The sequence below is a fragment of the Homo sapiens genome, chromosome 5 (assembly GCF_000001405.40).
Source record: "Homo sapiens chromosome 5, GRCh38.p14 Primary Assembly".
Classification (NCBI taxonomy): domain Eukaryota; kingdom Metazoa; phylum Chordata; class Mammalia; order Primates; family Hominidae; genus Homo; species Homo sapiens.
In genome coordinates, this window is record NC_000005.10 from 43,974,626 (window position 1) to 43,995,054 (window position 20,429).

At 38.7% G+C, this 20,429-nt stretch overlaps 3 annotated features.

The window, feature by feature from the left end:
• Positions 209-378: an enhancer, noted in NCBI's record as "experimental_85621 CRE fragment used in MPRA reporter constructs". NCBI's record gives its function as "activates a minimal promoter by MPRAs in K562 erythroleukemia cells, with activity observed for the non-introgressed 5:43975021 variant allele {active_cell/tissue: K562}" and the evidence as "EXISTENCE:reporter gene assay evidence [ECO:0000049][PMID:34662402]".
• Positions 3,367-3,536: an enhancer, noted in NCBI's record as "experimental_85633 CRE fragment used in MPRA reporter constructs". NCBI's record gives its function as "activates a minimal promoter by MPRAs in K562 erythroleukemia cells, with activity observed for both the introgressed and non-introgressed 5:43978179 variant alleles {active_cell/tissue: K562}" and the evidence as "EXISTENCE:reporter gene assay evidence [ECO:0000049][PMID:34662402]".
• Positions 12,049-12,218: an enhancer, noted in NCBI's record as "experimental_85647 CRE fragment used in MPRA reporter constructs". NCBI's record gives its function as "activates a minimal promoter by MPRAs in K562 erythroleukemia cells, with activity observed for the introgressed 5:43986861 variant allele {active_cell/tissue: K562}" and the evidence as "EXISTENCE:reporter gene assay evidence [ECO:0000049][PMID:34662402]".

Sequence of the window (20,429 nt, forward strand, 5' to 3'; positions counted from 1 at the left end):
CTAGAAAGGACAATTAGTCGAGTAAATGTTTGGGAAAGTTGTGGGGACTTGATAAAAATGCAATCATTTGCTTCTTTCTCTCTTGACTAATTGTGCGGTCTCTGAAAAAGAGGAGAAAAATTCCCCATTTTTCTCATTGCCTAACCTCTTTACCAAACCATCTTTATGCAGAAAATGAACTCATTTTTATGTGTGTGGGTTTTTTTTTTGTTTTTGCTTGTTTTTCTAAGAGATAGAGTCTCATTATCTTGCATAGGCTAGTCTAGAGCTCCCTGGACTCAAATGATCCTTGCGCCTCAGTCTCCCAAGTAGGTGGGATTATAAGCATGTGCCACCACATCTGGCTGAATTCATTTTTAAATTAATTGTTTTAAAAAAGTATAGTAATAAATACTTGCCCTAATACATGATCCTTTTTATTTGAACAACATGCATTTAGCGAGAGTCAATTATGTGCACAATGCTATGCTAAATACCAAGAGGAATATCTAGGCTGAAATGATGTTACTGTGCTGTAGATCCATGCTACGCAATAATAATGCAAGCCACATATATAATTAAAACATTTCTAGTAATCACATAAAAAGATAAAAAAAAAATAAAATTAATTTGAATAATGTCTTTAAACTCATTATCATTTTAAGATATAATCAACATTAAAAATTGCTAATGAGATATCTTACAATCTTTTTTGGTACAAAGTCTTCAAATCCTAGTGTATATTTTATATTCATAGCATATCACAACTTGGATGCCTAAATTTCATTAGAAAAACTTAATACAGGCCAGGCGCAGTGGCTCATGCCTGCAATCCCAGCACTTTGGGTGGCTGAGACAGGCAGATCGCTGGAGGTCAGGAGTTTGAGACCAGCCTGGCTAACATGGTGAAACCCCATCTCTGCTAAAAATACAAAAATTAGCCAGGTGTGGTGGTGGGCACCTGTAATCCCAGCTACTCGGGAGGCGAGGCAGGAGAGTTGCTTGAACCCAGGAGGCAGAGGTTGCAGTGAGCCAAGATCAGCACCATTGCACTCCAGCCTGGGAAACAGGAGTGAAACTCCGTCTCAAAAAAAAAAAAAAAAAAAAAAGAAAATCTTAATATACATTTTGATTTTATAAAATTAATAGTTGAAAACATAGATTCATGTGCCCAAGTTGTTTCAAACATACTTTTGAAAGTTTTCAAATAATTGAATTGACTCTCAGTTTTATTTTATTTTATTTTATTTTTTATTTTACTTTAAGTTCCAGTGTACATGTTGAGAATATACAGGTTTGTTACTTAGGTAAACAAGTGCCATGGTGGTTTGCTGCACCTATCAACCTGTTACCCAGGTATTAAGCACCACATGCATTAACTACTCATCCTGATGCTCTCCCTCCCCTTGTGTCCCCCAACAGGCCCTGGTATGTGTTGTTCCCTTCCCTTTGTCCATGTGTTCTCATTGTTCAGCTCACACTTGTGAGTGAGAACATGTGGTGTTTAGCTTTCTCTTCCTGTATTAGTTTGCTGAGGATGATGGCCTCCAGCTTCATCCACGTCCCTGCAAAGGATATGATCTCATTTCTTTTTATGCTTGCATAGTATTTCATGGTGTATACGTACCACATTTTCTTTATCCAGTCTATGATTGATGGGCATTTGGGTTGGTTCTATGTCTTTGCTATTGTGAATAGCAATGCAGTAAACATGTGTGTGCATGTATCTTTATAATAGAATAACTTATATTCCTATGGGTATACGCCCAGTAATAAGATTGCTGGGTCAAATGGTATTTCTTGTTCTACATCCTTGAAGAATCACCACACTGTCATCCACAATGGTTGAACTAATTTACATTCCCACCAACAATGTAAAAGCATTCCTATTTCTCCACAGCCTCACCAGCATCTGTTGTTTCTTGACTTTTAAATAATTGCCATTCCAACTGGCATGAGATGGTATCTTGTTGCGGTTTTGATTTGCATTTCTCTAATGATTGTGATAATGAGCTTTTTTTCATGTGTTTTGGCTGATAAATATCTTCTTTTGTGAAGTATCTGTTCATGTCTTTTGACTACTTTTTGATGAGGTTGTTTTTTATTTGTAAATTTGTTTAAGTTTCCTGTAAATTCTAAATACTAGACCTTTGTCAGATAGATAGATTGCAAAATTTTTCTCCCATTCTGTATGTTGCCTGTTCACTCTGATGATAGTTTCTTTTGTTGTGCAGAAGCTCTTTAGTTTAATTAGGTCTCATTTGTCAATTTTGGCTTTTGTTGCAAATGCTTTTGGTGATTTCATCATAAAATCTTTGCACATTCCTATGTCCTGAATAGTATTGCCTAGATTTTCTTCTAGCGTTTTTATGGTTTTGGGTTTTGTGTTTAAGTCTTTAATCCATCTTGAGTTAATTTTTGTATAAATTGTAAGAAAGGAGTCCAGTTTCAGTTTTCTGCATATGGCTAGTCAGTTTTCCCAGCACCATGTATTAAATAGGGAATCCTTTCCCCATCGCTTGTTTTTGTCAGATTTGTTGAATATCATATGGTTTCAGATGTATAGTCTTATTTCTGAGGTCTCTATTCTTTCCATTGGTCCTTATGTCTGTTTTGATACCAGTACCATGCTGCTTTGGTTATTTTAGCTTTGTAGCATAGTTTGAAGTCAGGTAGTGTGATGCCTCCAGCTTTGTTCTTTTTGCTTAGGATTGTCTTGGCTATATGGGCTCTTTTTGGTTCAATATGAATTTTACAGTAGTTTTTTCTAATTATGTGAAGAATGTCGATAGTAGTTTGATGGGAATAGCATTGAATCTACATATTACTTTGGGCAGGGTGGCCATTTTCACAATATTGATTCTTCTCAGCCATGAACATGGAATGTTTTTCCATTTGTTTGTGTCCTCTCTTATTTCCTTGAGCAGTGGTTTGTAGTTCTCCTTGAAGAGGTCTTTCATGTCCCTTGTTAGCTGTATTCCTAGGTATATTATTCTCTTTGCAGCAATTGTGAATGGAATCTCATTTATGATTTGGCTCTCTGCTTGTCTGTTGTTGGTGTATAGGAATGCTTGTGATCTTTGCACATTGATTTTGTATCCTAAGACTTTGCTGAAGTTGCTTATCAGCTTAAGGAGCTTTTGGGTTGAGAAGATGGAGTTTTCTAAACATAGGATCATGTCATCTGCAAACAGAGACAATATGACTTCTTCTCTTCCTATTTGAATATGCTTTATTTCTTTCTCTTGCCTGATTGCCCTGGCCAGAACTTCCAATACTCTGTTCAATAGGAGTGGTGAGAGAGAGGGCATCGTTTTCCTGTGCCAGTTTTCAAAGGGAATGCTTCCAGCTGTTGAACCATTCAGTGTGATATTGTCTGTGGGTTTGTCATAAATAACTTTTATTATTTTGAGATATGTTCCATTAATACCTAGTTTATTGAGAGTTTTTAACATGATGGGATATTGAATTTATTGCAGGTCTTTTCTGCATCTATTGAGATAATCATGTGGTTTTCATCATTGGTTTTATTTACGTGATGGATTAAATTTATTTATTTGTGTATATTGAACCAGCCTTGCATCCCAGGGATGAAGCTGACTTGATTGTGGCAGATAAGCTTTTTGATGTGCCACTGGGTTTGCTTTGCAAGTATTTTATTGAGGATTTTTGCACTGATGTTCATCAGGGATATTGGCCCGAAGTTTTCTTTTTCTGTTGTGTCCCTGCCCGGTTTTTGTATCAGGATGATGCTGGCCTCATAAAATGAGTTAGGGAGGAGTCCCTCCTTTTCAATTGTTTGGCATAGTTGCAGAAGGAATGGTACCAACTCCTCTTTGCACCTCTGGTAGAATTTGGCTGTGAATCCATCTGGTCCTGGGCCTTTTTTGTTGGTAGCCTATTTATTACTGCCTCAATTTCAGAATTTTTTATTCGTCTATTCAAGGATTCAATTTTTTCCTGCTTTAGACTTGGGAGGGTGTTTGTTTCCAGGAATTTATCCATTTCTTCTAGATTTTCTAATTTATTTGCATAGAAGTGTTTATAGTATTCTCTGATGATAGATTGTATTTCTGTGGTATCAGTGGTGATATCCCCTTTATCATTTTTTATTGTGTTTATTTGATTCTTCTCTCTTCTTTATAAGTCCTGCAAGTGGTCTATTTATATATATATATATATATATTTTTTTTTTTTTCCAAAAAACCAGCTCCTGGATGCATTGATTTTTTGAAGGGTTTTTAGTGTTTCTATCACCTTCAGTTCCACTCTGATCTTAGTTGTTTCTTGTCATCTGCTAGCTTTTGAATTTGTTTGCTCTTGCTTCTCTGGTTCTTTTAGTTGTGATGTTAGGGTGTTGATTTGATATCTTTCTAGCTTTCTGATATGTGCATTTAGTGCTACAAATTTCCCTCTTAACAACGCTTTAGCTGCATCCCAGAGATTCTGGTATATTGTCTCTTTGTTCTCATTGGTTTCAAACAACTTCTGGATTTCTGCCTTAATTTCATTATTTATCCAGGAGTCATTCAGGATCAGGTTGTTCAATTTCCACGTAGTTGTGTGGTTTTGAGTGAGTTTCTTAATCTTGAGTTCTAATTTGATTGCACTGTGGTCTGAGAGACTTCTTTTTTTTTTTAAAATAATATCAGTTCTTTTGCATTTGCTGAGGAGTGTTTTACCTCCAATTAAGTGATCGACTTTAGAGTAAGTGCCATGTATATTCTGAAGAATGCATATTCTGTTGTTTTGGGGTGAAGAGTTCTGTAGATCTCTATTAGATCCACTTGATTCAGAGCTGAGTTCAAGTCCTGAACGTCCTTGTTAATTTTCTGTCTTGTTGATCTGTCTAATATTGACACTGGGGTGTTAAAGTCTCCCAGTAATATTGCACGGGAGTCTAAGTCTCTTTGTAGGTCTCTAACAACCTGTTTTATGAATCTCGGTGCTCCTATATTGGGTATATATATATTTAGGACAGTTAACTCTTTTTGTTGAATTGATCCCTTTACCATTATATAATACCATTTTTAAAAAAATCTTTTTTGATCTTTTTTGGTTTAAAGTCTGTTTTGTCAGAAACTAGAACTGTAACTCCTGTTTTTTTGTACTTTCCATTTGATTGGTAAATATTCCTTCATCCCTTTATTTTAAGCCTATGTGTGTCTTTGCATGTGAGATGGGTCACTTGAATACAGCACATTCATGGGTCTTGACTCTACCTCATTTGCCAGTCTGTGTGTTTTAACTGGGGCATTTGGCACATTTAAATTTAAAGTTAATATTGTTACTTGTGAATTTGATCCTGTCATCATGATGCTAGCTTTTTATTTTGCACATGAGTTGATGCAGTTTTTTCATACTGTCATTGGTTTTTGTATTTTGGTGTATTTTTGCAGTGGCTGGTACCAGTTGTTCCTTTCCATGTTTAGTGTTTCCTTCAGGAGCTCTTGCAAGGCAGGCCTGGTCATGATGAATTCCCTCAGCATTTGCTTATCAGAAAATACTTTTATTTCTTCTTCACTTATGAAGTTTAGTTTGGCCAGATATGAAATTCAGATTGAAAATTTTTTTAAGAATGTTGAATATTGGCTCCTACTCTCTTCTGGCTTGTATGGTTTCTGCTGAGAGATCCACTTTTAGTCTTATGGGCTTCCCTTTGTAGGTGGTCTTTCTCTCTGGTTGTTCTTACATTTTTTTCTTTCATTTTGACCTTGGAGAATCTGATGATTATTTGTCTTGGGATTGATCTTCTTGTGGAGTATCTTAGTGGGGGTTCTCTGTATTTCCTGAATTTGAATGTTAGCCTGTCTTGCTAGCTTGGGGAGGTTCTCCTGGATGATATCCTAGAGTGTGTTTTCAAACTTGTTTCCATTCTCCCTGTCTCTTTCAGGTCCTCCAATCTGCTGTAGGTTCAGTCTTTTTACATAGTCCCATAGTTCTCGGAGGTTTTGTTTTTTCCTTTTCATTCTTTTTCTTTAATCTTGTCTGCCTGCCTTATTTCAGCAGATAGTCTTCAATCTCTGATATTCTTTCTTCTGCTTGATCAATTCAGCTATTGATATCTGTGTATGCTTCACGAAGTTCTTGTGCTGTGTTTTTCAGCTCCATCAGGTCATTTATGTTCCTCTCTAAGCTGGTTATTCTAGTTAGCAGCTCTTGTAATGTTTTATCATGGTTCTTAGCTTCTTTGCATTGGGTTAGAACATGCTCCTTTATCTCAGTGAAGTTTGTTATTGTCTACCTTCTGAAGCCTACTTCTGTCAATTCATCTAGTTTGTCTAGTCTTGATCTTTGAGGCTGCTGGCCCCTTGGATCAGGTTTTGTGGGGACATTTTTTGTTGAAGCTGTTGTTGTTGCTTTCTGTTTTTCTTTCAATAGTCAGGTCCCTCTTCTGTAGGGCTGCTGCAGTTTGCTGGGGTTTCACTTCAGGCCCTATTCATCTGCTTTGCTCCCATGCCTGGAGATGTCACCTGGGGAGGCTGGAGAACAGCAAGGATGGGTGCCTGCTCCTTCCTTGGGGATTTCTGATCTCAAGGGGCACTGACCTGATGCGAGTAAGAACATTCATGTATAGCGTGTCTGGCCACCCCTGTTGGAGGGTCTCACCCAGTTGGGGGGCACGGAACCAGGACCCATTTAATGAAGCACTTTGGCTGTCCCTTGTTGGAGAGGGTGTGCTGTGCTAGGTGGATACCCACACGTCTGGGCTGGCCGGATTCCTCAGAACTAGCAGGAGGAAAGATTAAATCTGCTGGTCTGCAGAGACTATAGTCACTCCTCCCACTAGGGGCTCAGGCCCATGGTGATCAGAGTTCTGTCCCTGAGACCCTGGCTGGAAGTTATTGGGGTTCCTGCAGAGAGGCCCCACCCAGTGAGGAGGAATGGGTCTGGGTCCAGCCTGAAGAGGCAATCTGGCCATGGCAGTGTGCTGCGCTGTGGGGAATACCTCTTGGAACCAAGCCATCCAGCCTCCCTGGCTCCAGTAAGGGAAAAGTGAATCCTGGAGCTATAGTGATGGCTGCTGCCCTTCCCTCCCAGGAGCTTAGCTAGCAGCTGCAATGTTGGCTGCTGCCCCTTCCTCAGGGAACTCAGACAGCTTAGACAGCAGGCAGCCGCAGCAGTGGTAATGGCCGCCCCCTCCCCCACCTTACCCTGCCCCAGGGAACTCCGCAGGCTTAGGCAGATTCCAGCTGAGTGGCTGTCGAGAATCTATGCAGCTCTGTGATTGGGACCCAAGGCCCCGGTGGCATGGACTCACGAGTGAGATCTTCCAATCCGTGGGTTGCCCAGTACCATGGAAAAAGCACAGTTTCCCAGGCTGGGTAGCACGCTCACTCATTGCCTCCCTTGGCTGGGAGTGGGGGACTCTCCTACCCTGTGTGGCTCTCAGGTGGGCTGCCGCACCACCCTGCTCTTCCTTCCTCTCTGTGGGTCACACCAGCTGCCTAGTCAGTCCTAATGACAGAACCTGGATACCTCGGTTGCCAGTGCAGGATTCACATGCTGTTTTGGTTCTTTTTGGTGGGAGCCTCAGATCACTGCTGCTTTTGGTTGGCCCTATCAATTTTTAAATTTAATTTAAATTAATGAAAACTAAATGAAATTAAAAATTTACTTTCTCAGTTGAACTAGCCACATTTCAAGTACTCAACAGTAATTTGTGACTAGTAGCTATCTTATTACACAGTGTACATCTTAGAAATTCTATATGGCTTATATACCTTCAATGAATCTCATCTACCAGGATCAGCCTTGGTGAGTAGAAGCTCGTGTTGCTTTCACTATGGTGACTTTGTTCATGAACCCACTGGGAAATAACATGGATAGCTGGAGAAAGAGGCTGACTGGTATGTACAGAATGGGTCATTCTACCCATTTGATCATTACAATCATCCACTGCTGATGTAATCATTTGGTGAGCATTCACATGAAACACAAATATTTCCATGTTTTTTGTCCATTCAGAGAGATCCATCCACATACTTCTTTCTAAAATTTATTTGTCATAATCCTCAAGTCATTTTCCTTCCAAGTCCCTCATCATCCAGCCAAACCATTGAATTGGTATATAATCACGTCTGACCAATTCTCCTTCCAAGTAAAGTAAACAACCAGATACATTGCTCAAAGTTCTGACTGGGAAGATTTTCTTTCTCTGCTTTTTTTTTTTTTTTTTTTGAGATGGAGTTTCCCTCTTGTTGCCCAGGCTGGAGTGCAATGGTGCGATCTCGGCTCACTGCAACCTCTGCCTTCCGGGTTCAAGCGATTCTCCTGCCTCAGCCTCCTGAGTAGCTGGGACTACAGGCATGGACCACCATGCCTGGCTAATTTTGTATTTTTTTTAGTAGAGATGGGGTTTCTCAATGTTGGTCAGGCTGGTCTCAAACTCCCAATTTCAGGTGATACCCCACCTCAGCCTCCCAAAGTTCTGGGATTACAGGTGTGAGCCACCACGTCTGGCCAAGATTTTCTTTTACCCACTGTCCATCAGGGATATTTCAGAGAGGGGCCATAGTGCTGCAGCTCCATTTTCCAGTGGTACCTGTGTATCATACAGAACCATCTATAAACCTGGCCTGAGTCTTTTCTTCTTCTGTCAACTAATATTAGGAAACACTGTATGAGGACATAGGTGCAGGCTGGGAGAAAAAAAGAAGTAGGGACTGTGGGTATTTGGGACACTTCTTCATGTCACTTACTAATGCCTGACTAGGCCTAATCATGTATATACCAATTCTATTTCCATTTGATGATGGACTGTTGCTGTGCATGTCCAAATTTATGGCTTGGTCATCAGATAACACCTAGTTTATGAAGGGCAGCTCAGGTTACATGGTAACTTGGTGATCTATGGTTAAGGGTTCAGTCTTTACTAGGGCCCAGTATGAGGGCCAAGAACTCTTTCTCAAAAGAGAGTAGTTATCTGGATATGACTGGGATTTTTCCAAATTCTAGAAGAACTGCCCTGGGATTCAAATATAGTAATCTACCAAAGGCTCCAAACTGAATTCATATTTGTCACTGAGACTTCAGGTACCATAGGACTTGCTGAATCTGCCCAAGTGGCAGAGCACCTTGCACAGCAGCCTGGATCTGTTGAAGAGACTTCTCTAATTCTGGGACCCCCTCAAAACTTGGAGCTTTTTGGGTCACTTGGTAAATGGGCTGAAGTAACATACCTAATAAGGTATGTGGTGCCTCCAAAATCCAAAGAGGCCCATTATGCTTTGTGCCTTGTACTGTATTCGTCTGTTATCATTCTGCAAATTTCTGCAGCCGGCTTGAATTTCTTCCCAGAACATGGGTTTCTGCATTGTCAAGCTGCAAATTTTCCAAACCTTTATGTTCTATTACTTTTTGAATGCTTTGCTGCTTAAACATTTTTTTTGCCAGATACCCTAAATCATCTCTCTCAAGTTCAAAGTTGCACACGTCTCTAGGGCAGGGGCAAAATGCCACTAGTCTCTTTGGTAAGGCATAGCAAGAATCACCTTTATTCCACTTCCCAACAAGTTCCTCATCTCTATCTGAGACCACCTTAGCCTGGACTTTATTGCCCATGTCACTGTCAGCATTTTGGTCAAAACCATTAAACAAGTCTCTAGGAAGTTTGGAACTTTCCTACATCTTCCTGTTTTCTTCTGAGCCCTCCAAATGGTTGCAACCTCTTCCTGTTACCCAGTTCTAAAATCACTGCCACATTTTTGGGTATATTTATAGCAGCACCCCATTGTCTGTGGTACCAATTTAGGAGGGACCAGATGCAAGAACTTATCCTTCACTTTAGAAGAAATATCTCAACATGTGCCACACCACTGGATCCCTAGAAATTTTACTGAGGTAGAAGTTTCCTAAATTTTAGTCATATTTTTTCCCACCTCTGACACACGAAGGATTTACCAATAAGTCTGGAGCAGCTGCTACTTCTTACTCAGTAGGTCCCATCAGCATAATGTCATCAGTGTAATGGACCACTGTGATATCTTGTGGAAGGGAAAGGTGTTCAATCCCTGCAAATGAAATTATGACATAGGACTGGAGAGTTAATATACCCTTGAGGTATGTCAGTAAAGGTGTATTTCTGGCCTTGCCAAGTGAAAGAAAAGTTCTTCACCAATAGGCACTGACAAAAACTTATTTGCCAGACCAATATCTACATACAAATACCAAGCAGAAGTGTTAATTTGCCCAAGCAATGTGTCCACATCTGGTACAGCAGCTGCAATTGGAGTTATCCCCTGGTTAAGCTTACCATAATCCACTGTCATTCTTAAAGATCCATCCGGTTTCTGCACCGGCCAAATAGGTAAGTTGAATGGAGATGTGGTGGAAATTATCATGCCTGCATCCTTCAGATCTTTGATGGTGGCACTAATCTCTGCAATCCCTTCAGGAATGCAGTATTGCTTTTCCATTTTTTATTTTATTTTAAATTTTAATTTTTTTTGTGTGTGTACATAATAGTAGTATTGTTTTTGATTTACTCTTTTCCCAGATAGAGACAGTTCTAATGGCTTCCACTGGCCTTTCCCACCATAATAGCTTACACTCCACATCAGTGGGTGGACATGATGTGGGGATTCTGCCAGCTGCTAAGTATATCTATTCTAATTTTGCATTCTGAAACCTGAGAAATAACCAGAAGATGGATTCAGGGACCCACTGGGCCCACTGTGAGACAGACCTAAGCTAAAACTCCTGTATCCATTCTTGCATTACTATAAAGAAATACCTGAGACTGGGTAATTTATAAGAAAAGAGGTTTAATTGGCTTATGGTTCTGTAGTCTGTACAGAAAGCATGGTGGCCTCTGCTTCTGGGGAGGATTGAGGGAACTTTTACTCACAGCAGTAGGCAAAGCAGGAGCAGGCGTCTCATATGATGGGAACAGGAGCCACAGAGCGAGGGGGGAGGTGCTACACACTTTTAAATGACCACATCACAAGAGAACTCACTATCACGAGGACAGAATTACAGGGATGGTAAGACAGGAATAATACAGGGATACAGGGTGGTGGCAGAATAGAAAATTTAGTTTACTTTTGCTAGTCATGTGAAACTCCAGGCATTAGTCCACATGACTAGCAAAAGGAAACTGTTGAAATCACTGCAGAAGCTAAGGCCTGATCAGTTCCTGAAAAACCAGTGTGTGTGAAAAACCAGGCTGGCTAAGACTGACTGGACACAACATGGTGCTGGATTTGACCTAGGTTTCTCCGAGGACCTCATTATATGCTTATGAACATCTTAAATCACACATCCCATCAATGCCATAACAGCTCTGAGAACACTCAAATTTGTTATAAAAATGAGTGGCACCACAGTTCTGAGAAATCTCTACCTTTTTCCAGGAATTTCCATGAATATTTCACCCCTTGGATCCATAAAGATAGAAACCCCAAATCCCATTGCCCGACTCTATCTTCAGTACATCTGCACTCCCTTGAGTGTACACTTTTCTCTTGCAATAAATCTCTGTACTTTCACTATTTTCTGACTCATCCTTGAATTCATTCTCATAACAGTGTCAAGAGCCTGGACACCAGCTGGGGTTGAGTGAAGTCTCATGGGTGTTTGAGGACCTCCTCCAGCCCACTGATAGCAATGGTACTAAACCACTCATTAGAATCCCCCAACCTCCCGCCAGGCCCCACCTCTAATACTGGGGATTAAAATCCAACATGAGATTTGGGCAGGACATCCAAGCCATATCAAATCCATTGATAATCTGATCTCTATAAGTGTTTACTCTTACTCATGGACCACAGAGACATTATGGGTCTCCTGGAATTAGTGTCAGTTTCCAGTGGTCCCAAATATCTGTTATTTTCTTTCCCCCAATGTACAGTTACCTTGGTAAAAGGTTATAGGTCTCTTTGAGGAAAACTGAAAGAAGAATTAATAGTACAGGTGCTTCTTAGCTTATGATGGGGCTGTGTACCAACAAACCCATTGTAAGTTGAAAGCACCATGAATGAAAAGGACATTTTTAACTTACGATATTTCAATTTATGATGTGTATTGTTTTGCTTCATATCATAATGTCAAAAAATTGTAAGTTGAACCATCCTAAGTCAGGGACTGTCTGTATACATTTTCTGTAGTGTATTGGGGTCCTCACTCAAGGGGAACTGGCCTCCCTTCATTTAAGGGATTCAGGATCTGTAAACTGACTCAAGTCTGGGAATTGATTGAGGGCCCATAACTCTGTTCTTATGATTTGGCTTAGAGTTTTATTCATTTGACTTAGATCTTTTCTGTTTACACAGATCAGGTAAGAATTAAGTAGGCTTCCTATCTATAACTTCTTGAAAAACATAATCAACTAACCAACAACATAGGTATGCTCCAGTCAGACTGTTCCGATTGGAGACTATGCTTTGGTTCTCCTGTTCATCATGGTAACCATGGCCATCTTGCCTTTGAGGTTGAGTACTGCTCCTTGGCCTCTACTGTTATAGAATTCAATTACTACCATTGCAGTTAGGTTTCCCAGTTTAGTGACTACAGTTCCCACTGTGTGGTCTGGCCTACAGAGAAGAGCAATCACAGTACTCATCAAGGATGCCAGGGCAAATTTATTTCTATAATGTTGGTGAAAGATATGTCTTCTGGACCCAGTATGGGTGAGTAGATCTTAAATGACAAAAACACTCTTACATTCCAGTTCCCCTAAGCCTTTTTATTCCTTCCTCTACATTAAACCAAGGCATGCCTGGCATTTTCGCTTCACTCACTGTGGGCTACCTTTTGGTCCATGTTTCAGTCAACCAACCAAATAAATTATTAGTGCCTTTTAAAACTCCTACTTCAATAGAGCCTGCATTTTGCAGTTCTTTCAGCTATAATCCACTGTTATTATACTGAAGCCCTGTTTGTGTGGCTGTCAAGTGTGAAGAAAAGAAAGGGTTCTACAATATTATGATTAAATATAACTTTTTTAGTACATCTCTATCCCTGGGCTGTGACCCTCACAAATATTTCATAGCTTTTGTCCCACCTTAGGTGAAATAGCAAGGTTGGAGGGGGCTGTAGTATGGGAAATTTTCTCCCCAGGTAGGGTGAGTCTCTGTTAAAGGCTTTTAAATTCTTTCCCCCTGGAGAGTAGGCCTTCTTTGTTATAAAGAACATTCTGAGGATATTTCACAAAGGTTACTTGTCTCCTCCTGCTGCCAGAACCATGAGACTTTTCTTGATTTTTCACTGTGAGAACCGGGTGGGAGTCTAAAATTAAAACCTATGACTGTGGGAGATTTCCTGAAACTGTGGCCTTCAGGAGCTTCTCACTCTCACGCTAGTCCACATTCAGCCTCCAGCAGTATGTCAAAATGACCATTTAAATATTTCTACCAGTTTATGGCTCTAGTGGCTTCTGTCCCAGTTAAGCCATAGATTGTGACTCTGGATTTTTCTGCCTCTCCAGATCTCAGGGTGGCAGTTTCTGCAACCTCAGTTCTCTAGGACTTCTAAGACAAGTTATTGATTTTCAGTTTGCTCAGCTTTTCCCTTGTTGTAAGGATGAAGGTGACAGCTTTTAAGCTCTTTACACACTGGAGCTAAAAGCACAAATCTTCTCACCAAAAGCATACCAAAGGTAAAATTCTAAAAGATGGATAATATAAAATAAAGATATAGAGAGGCGAGAATTCTTATACAGTGAGTCCTCACTTAACATCGTTGAGAAGATCTTGGAAACAGCAACTGTAAGCAAAATGATGTAATGAAAAACATTTTTTTCTCATCAATGTTACAACAAAATGATGTTGAATGAAATGACATTATTCAAGGACCTGCTGAACAATGTTTTGCTTAAAGTTGTAGTTTCCAAGAACCTATCAACAACATTAAGTATTTACTGTACAGTGCTATAGAGAGTATAAACAGGTACAGTAATTTTATAGACACCTGTCAGTCTTATTTATCTATTTAGGCTCTTTGAATCAGCAATTCCACTCATGGGTATATAACTGTACAAAAAGGATATTTATGAGAATGTTTATTTTGATGTGGTTTATAGCAGCTGAAAGTTATCAACATAGGTACCCATCACTGGAGAAATGGATAAGTAAAATATGGTGGAGGCAAACAATAGAATACTGTACAATAGTTAGAATCACCATGGATTGGATATTAAAAAAACTGCTAAAAAAGTTTGAAAGAGAATTGTATCTATACAAACAATACTAAATAAAAGCATATATGAATATTTAAGGACACATTTCAAATATATTAGAGTTGAGTTCCATGAATGGAACAAAAATGGGGATGGAGCACAAGGGGAAAAATAAAACAAACAGGAGAATAGCTTTGCATGGCTGATAGGATAATATCCTATGAACCCAAGAGGATGATTAACTCAGCTCTTTGCAACAAAGTTCCAAAACACCAACCAGCCAACCAACCAATCAACCACCAAAAAAACAAAAGTAAATAAGCATAAAATGTATGAAAGCAAAGTCTAAAATAAATTTGGTGGTATGAAGGTGGGCTCTCTATATTTCTAGAAATCAGAAAAGCATAACATTAATATACTTATGGAGCTTGAATTTGCCTATATATTAGCCAAGAATTTGTATGGCTTGTTTTGCACTGTATGATATAGTTGGCAGCTTTAAAACTGTTTAAAAGTGACAAAGAAAACAACTCTTTCTGGGATTGGATTTTACTTAGTCATTTTTTACATTTATTTAGCATATATATAATAGGGATAAGCTGGACAGTCCTAAATTGGTTCAATTACCGCCACTTTGGCCAAGGGTAATATTTCCCATCATGTCACCATTATGTTTCATGGTGGGCAAGCCTATCATCCTCCATATGAAGTGTTTACATGTATCCTGTTGGACTGCAGTTATTCAAAGGAGAGCACCACTACATAAATTAGACAAGGTAATAGAATTAGAACTCTCTGAATCTAGGTCTTTGACCCCAACACCCATAATTTTTCCTTTTGTCCTGCTGCCTCTGTTTAGTTATTTTAAAATATTAATTTTTCTCTGATTATAAAAGTAGAATGTGTTAAAAAACATAAATATGAAAACAGAAATCACCAACATTCCCACATTCTTTAGGCCCAATATGTTAGCCACTAGCCATGAGTGGCTATTGAGCACTTAGAAAGTGGCTAATCTGAGATGAGATATGCTGTAATTATAAAATACACACCAAATTTTAAAGACTTAGTTTGAAAAAAATCTTATTAGTAATTTTTATATTAATTACATGTGAAAATGATATTTTAAACATACTGAGTTAAATTATATTATTAAAATAATGTTACCTGTTTTTTACTTTTTTAATGTGGATATTAGAAAATTAAAAATTACATATGTAGCTTACACCATATTTCTTTTTTTTTTTGAGACGCAGTCTCACTCTGTCACCAGGCTGGAGTGCAGCAGTGTGATCTCGTCTCACTGCAACCTCTGCCTCCTGGGTTCAAGCAATTCTTCTGCCTCAGCCTCCCGAGTAGCTGGGACTACAGGCGCACACCACCACACCCAGCTAATTTTTGTAATTTTAGTAGAGACAGGGTTTCACCATGTTGGGCAGGATGGTCTTGATCTCCTGACCTCGTGATCCGCCTGCCTCGGCCTCCCAAAGTGCTGGGACTACAGGTGTGAGCCACCATGCCCGGCTGCTTGCACCATATTTCTACTGGACAACACCGATATATAGGATATATGCTGAACCTTTTTCCTATGCATTTACATAAATCAAAATTTGTGACTAAATCATCCTTACTGTATTATAGCCTGTTTTTTCATTTAACATACTGTAAAGAACATTCTCTAATGCTGTTCAATTTTTTTTTTTTTTTTTTTTTGAGACAGGGTCTCACTGTTGCCCAGGCTGGAGTGCTGTGGCATGATCATAGCTTACTGTAGCCTCAAACTCCTGGCCTCAAGTGATCCTCCCATCTTAGCCTCCCAAAGCACTAAGATTTACATATTTTATGGCATCATTTTGAAGTACTAACTCATGTTCTATCCTATTGGATGTGGCATATTTGTTTAACAAATTTCTTATATTGGGACGTCAAGGTTATTTCCAGTAGTAACCCCACAATAAATACTATTGTATGTAATTCTTTCTCTGTATCTCAGTTCACTTATTAGGAAAAATCCCTAGAAGTGGAACTACCATAAAAGTTTTAAACATGTTTAAGGCTTTTGTTAATTTTTCTAAATTGCTCTACAGAAAAGCTGTGCCATTTTATACTCCCAAAACCAGTGTTTAAGAGTGAAGGGCAAGTGTTTGCCATGTATTATCCTTGTTGGCTTTGATTTCTATTTGACTGCCTTTATCAATATTCCTATTTATCTGGGACACTTGGAATTGAAATTGTTCTTTTAAGGTAGGAATATAGGAAGAAGGACAATATTTCCAAAACAAAGTCCTAGTGACAAGAGGAATTTAAAAAAATAGTGTGTTCGTGTGTGTGTGGTTTTAACCCAATTAAACCTACACATGTTGGCCAACTTATAATAAACTCAACTTGTTTGGGGGTTCTTAATTATTTTGTTGTGAGTAGATATTATGAGCAAAAACTGTTTTTAAATATATATTTTGTGGGGCCGGGTGTGGTAGCTCATGCTTGTAATCCCAGCACTTTGGGAGGCCGAGACCGGCAGATCACTTAAGGTCAGGAGTTCAAGAAGAGTCTGGCTAACATGGTGAAATGTCTCCTCTACTAAAAATACAAAAAAATATTAGCTGGGCATAGTGGCGCACACCTGTAATTCCAGCTATGTGGGAGGCTGAGGCAGGATAATTGCTTGAACCCTGGAGGCAGGGGTTGCAATGAGCCGAGATTGCACCACTGCACTCCAGCCTGGGCGATGGAGTATGACTCTGTCTCAAAAACAAAACAAACAAAACAACAACAACAAAAAACAAAACCATTTTGGCCACAGTGAAAATTTGCAGTAGTAAACTTTAAGGGGAAGTTGAAGATGACACATGAGGGAAATGTTTATTTCTTCAAATTCAGCCACTGGCTGAATATCTAGCATATAGAGCAAGGTTGTCATATTTGTTGCTTACCTAATGTGTAGGTTCTTCATTGTCTTGTGACATTTTTCTTTTAGGGATTAATTCTGTACACCTAGCTATGATTTTTCTCAATGTGCTTCTATCTCAAATATAAGCTTATAATCAAAATTCAGGAGAGAATAATATGTGCCTTGTCTCCTTAGCTGTTAGCATAGGAAAAACTAATTGAGATTATTCATAGAATAAGATTAATGTTCTTGTGGTAAAAAGCAAGCAGAGGGATGGTAAAATCTAATTAGCGAGTAGGGAAGCTTTCCATATGCTATTAGAAGAGAATTCGTATTGCTGGTGATACTGCAAGACTCTTAAAATGTTAGAACCTCTTATTTTCTCCTTTTGCCTATGGTAGTTAACTAATTATTTCTCCAGTCCAATCTTATGACATAAGCACGTTTTTGGTATGATAAACACTAAAAATAGCTGGCTGCAGAAGCCAGTAATGTTAGTAAATTTACAAATGCACCAATTCTTACAACCAATGCCCTTGAATTTTTTTTTTAGTATATACTTAGTAGGGATGAATGAAAACAGTATTTTTAAGAAAACAATATTTTTAAGTAAAATGCCCCCAAAATTTATACTTCTTGTGATGAATTGTTTTCATAGGAAAATAAGTATGATAGTTTAAATCATTTTAAAAGGTAGCACATATAACAGAGCTAACCATTTCTATATTAATTAATAAATATAGAGCAAAGCCCCAAGGAACATTAGCAATTAAGTGCATGAATAAGGACTAGGAAGATGTAGAATCTTTTACTTTTTGATGAAAAATGATATTCTGGCAATAAATACATTTTATGCCAATTGATTTATTTCATCATATATCATTAAGATTTTTAGAGGAGATATATAACTTTAGTGATTCTATCAAAACAGTCTAATATAGGGATTTTAAAGTGGAGATATAAATATTTTTTGTTACATTAACAAATACAGTCTGGGCAAATTTTTGGTCTTCTAATGACTAGATGTTGCTTTCTAGAAATCGATCTTTCTCAGATTATTTTTCTGATCCACCCCAAACATTAGTGACTGGTCAATTAAACCAATACTTATTAAGTACCAAACATTAATTCATTCATGCGTTTATCAAAAAAATCATGTGCCAAACATCTACCATGTACACAATACTCTTTTAATTTCAGTAAGGAATACAATTAGACATAAATTATTTTGTGTCTTAGGGGAATTTACAATCTCCTAGAGAAAGAAGAAGACATTAGATCAATTGAAGAAAGTTAGGCTAAGTTAAGAGATTGGTGAGAGACCTAATGAATAGCCTGAATGGGAAAGAGGGAGAAACACTATGAGTTGGGCTACTCAAGAAAAACATCAAATTGAGAATGGAGGCATGGAATTCATGAGCAGCTTTGCACAACTTCCATAGTATCTATGAATACGTTGGTTCTAGAAATCCTCTACTCTAACCTAATTTTACTGATGAAGAAATTGAGGCCCAAAGAACATAAGAAATTTGGCTTAGATTGCAGTCAGATAGGGTCTGCAGTGGGGCTGGAATTCAGTTTCCCAGACTATTGGTCCAAGGTGCTTTCTGTTTGAGGAATTTAAGAGATGAACTCACGGACCAGCACAGACCTTTGTTGCTAACCTCTCTTTTATTGCTAAAATTTCTCTCAGATTTTCCAAATTTTAGGTTTGAAGTTATAGTTCTGTTTTGCTGTTCAAAACTGATTTACTGTTTACTAAGAAAAGGCATGACCATTTATGTGCCATTTTGCTGTACTGTGAAAGTAATTTTCATGGTAAGTAGGATGAATTTGCAATTTAAAATAAGGCTATGTAAAAGAAAATGTTTCAATTTTGTCATCCCTTCACCCTTGTCCTTGACCTGTCATGATCGTAGTGACCTCCATTTTTTTCCTCCTCCACGAAGAGATCTTTCAACAGCTCTCATACATGCCTGCATTTTCTTGACAAAAACTACCATGAAAGCAGTGTTTGAAAAGTTCAGTACGGCCTCCAATCTCAGGCTTTATCTTTGAAATTTTGCACACTGAGTTAAAATATTGCTACATTTGTGGCCTGGGATTGTCCCTGCTAATTCCATATGAAGTAAGAGTGCCAAAGAACTCTTAGAACTCCCCCTGTGAATTTGCTTCATGAGCGGTTCTGGACTTGGCGGTTTAATCTCTCCATCAGGATCAACGTGATCCTGCGTTAAAGCCAAGGTCAAATGGGATAAGCAGTTGAACTTTCTCCTTTGTTTTGCGTGGCTCGTTGAAACATGTAACCTTTATAGGCTTGGTTTCTGCTTTGTAGGGGAATCTGAAGTCCAAGCAGATGTTTCTTTCCTTCTTTTGAAAACCCCTTTTCATTTTACTAGGCATGATGTCAAAGAAGCAATTGGGGGTAGATTAGGTAGGAGGTGGAAGGTCAGTGTTTTCTTTGCTAATATTGCAAAATAAAAAGATTTTGTGTTTGTTTATTTTTATTTTTTGCCAGTTGGGCCACTGAGAGTGAGTTGTTGATTCTAAAGACATAGATTTCCTTCTTGTGTCAGCAATGGCTGTGGAGTCAAGGTATGTGCAGCCAAGCCTGGGCAGCAGCCATCCGATCCCTTTCAGTTGGTAGAAAATAAAACCCTTAAGCAACCAACTGCCACATTTTAAGGTTTTTTCCTCTAATGCAGTCAACGTAAATGACTCCCTTCTTCCACAAAATAATTTTTTTTTTACAATAACCTATGAATAAAACAGTAGTTGAGCAGCTGTTCCTCTTCTAATGTAATTCCGTTTTCTTAAATGAACCACCATGTATGCAGTATCTTTAACTACAAGTGACATTTTTGGCCAACTTTACAGCTCTGTCATTTCATGTGGCTCACTAACAAGACCCTTAAAATAACTGTTCTTTAGTAACCTCAAGTGTTTGGCCTTCTGCTTCAGAACAGCATGTGGGACAACTATCAAACTGGCTGTGGTGTCTGAAGGCAGAATACTATACGTCCAATTCTGTCTTTCTCTGGCTGGAGGCCGTAGTCTAAAACCTCCAATTCATATTTTCTGAGAGTATCTGGAAAATACTGCTAAGTCTTTGACTAAGCAAATGGTATGACATAGGTAATTAGACAGAAGAGGGATTTTCAATCCTCAATGCATATTAGAATTACATGGTGAGCGTTTAAGAAATACTGTTGTCTAGACTTCAAGTCCCCTTCTGACTGAATTGAGGTGAGAGAAGAGTGATGTTGAGGTAGTGAGGTGGGAGAAGAGTAATGTCGATTCTTTTTAAAAGATCCCAGATGACTGTAATGGGCCAAGACTGAGAACCATAGCAGCTAGAGGATGTAGACGCTACTACCTATATTAGGGCATTTTGATTGGCAAAAATAGATTCTCCTTCCAGAGAACAAAAACAAAAACAAAAAG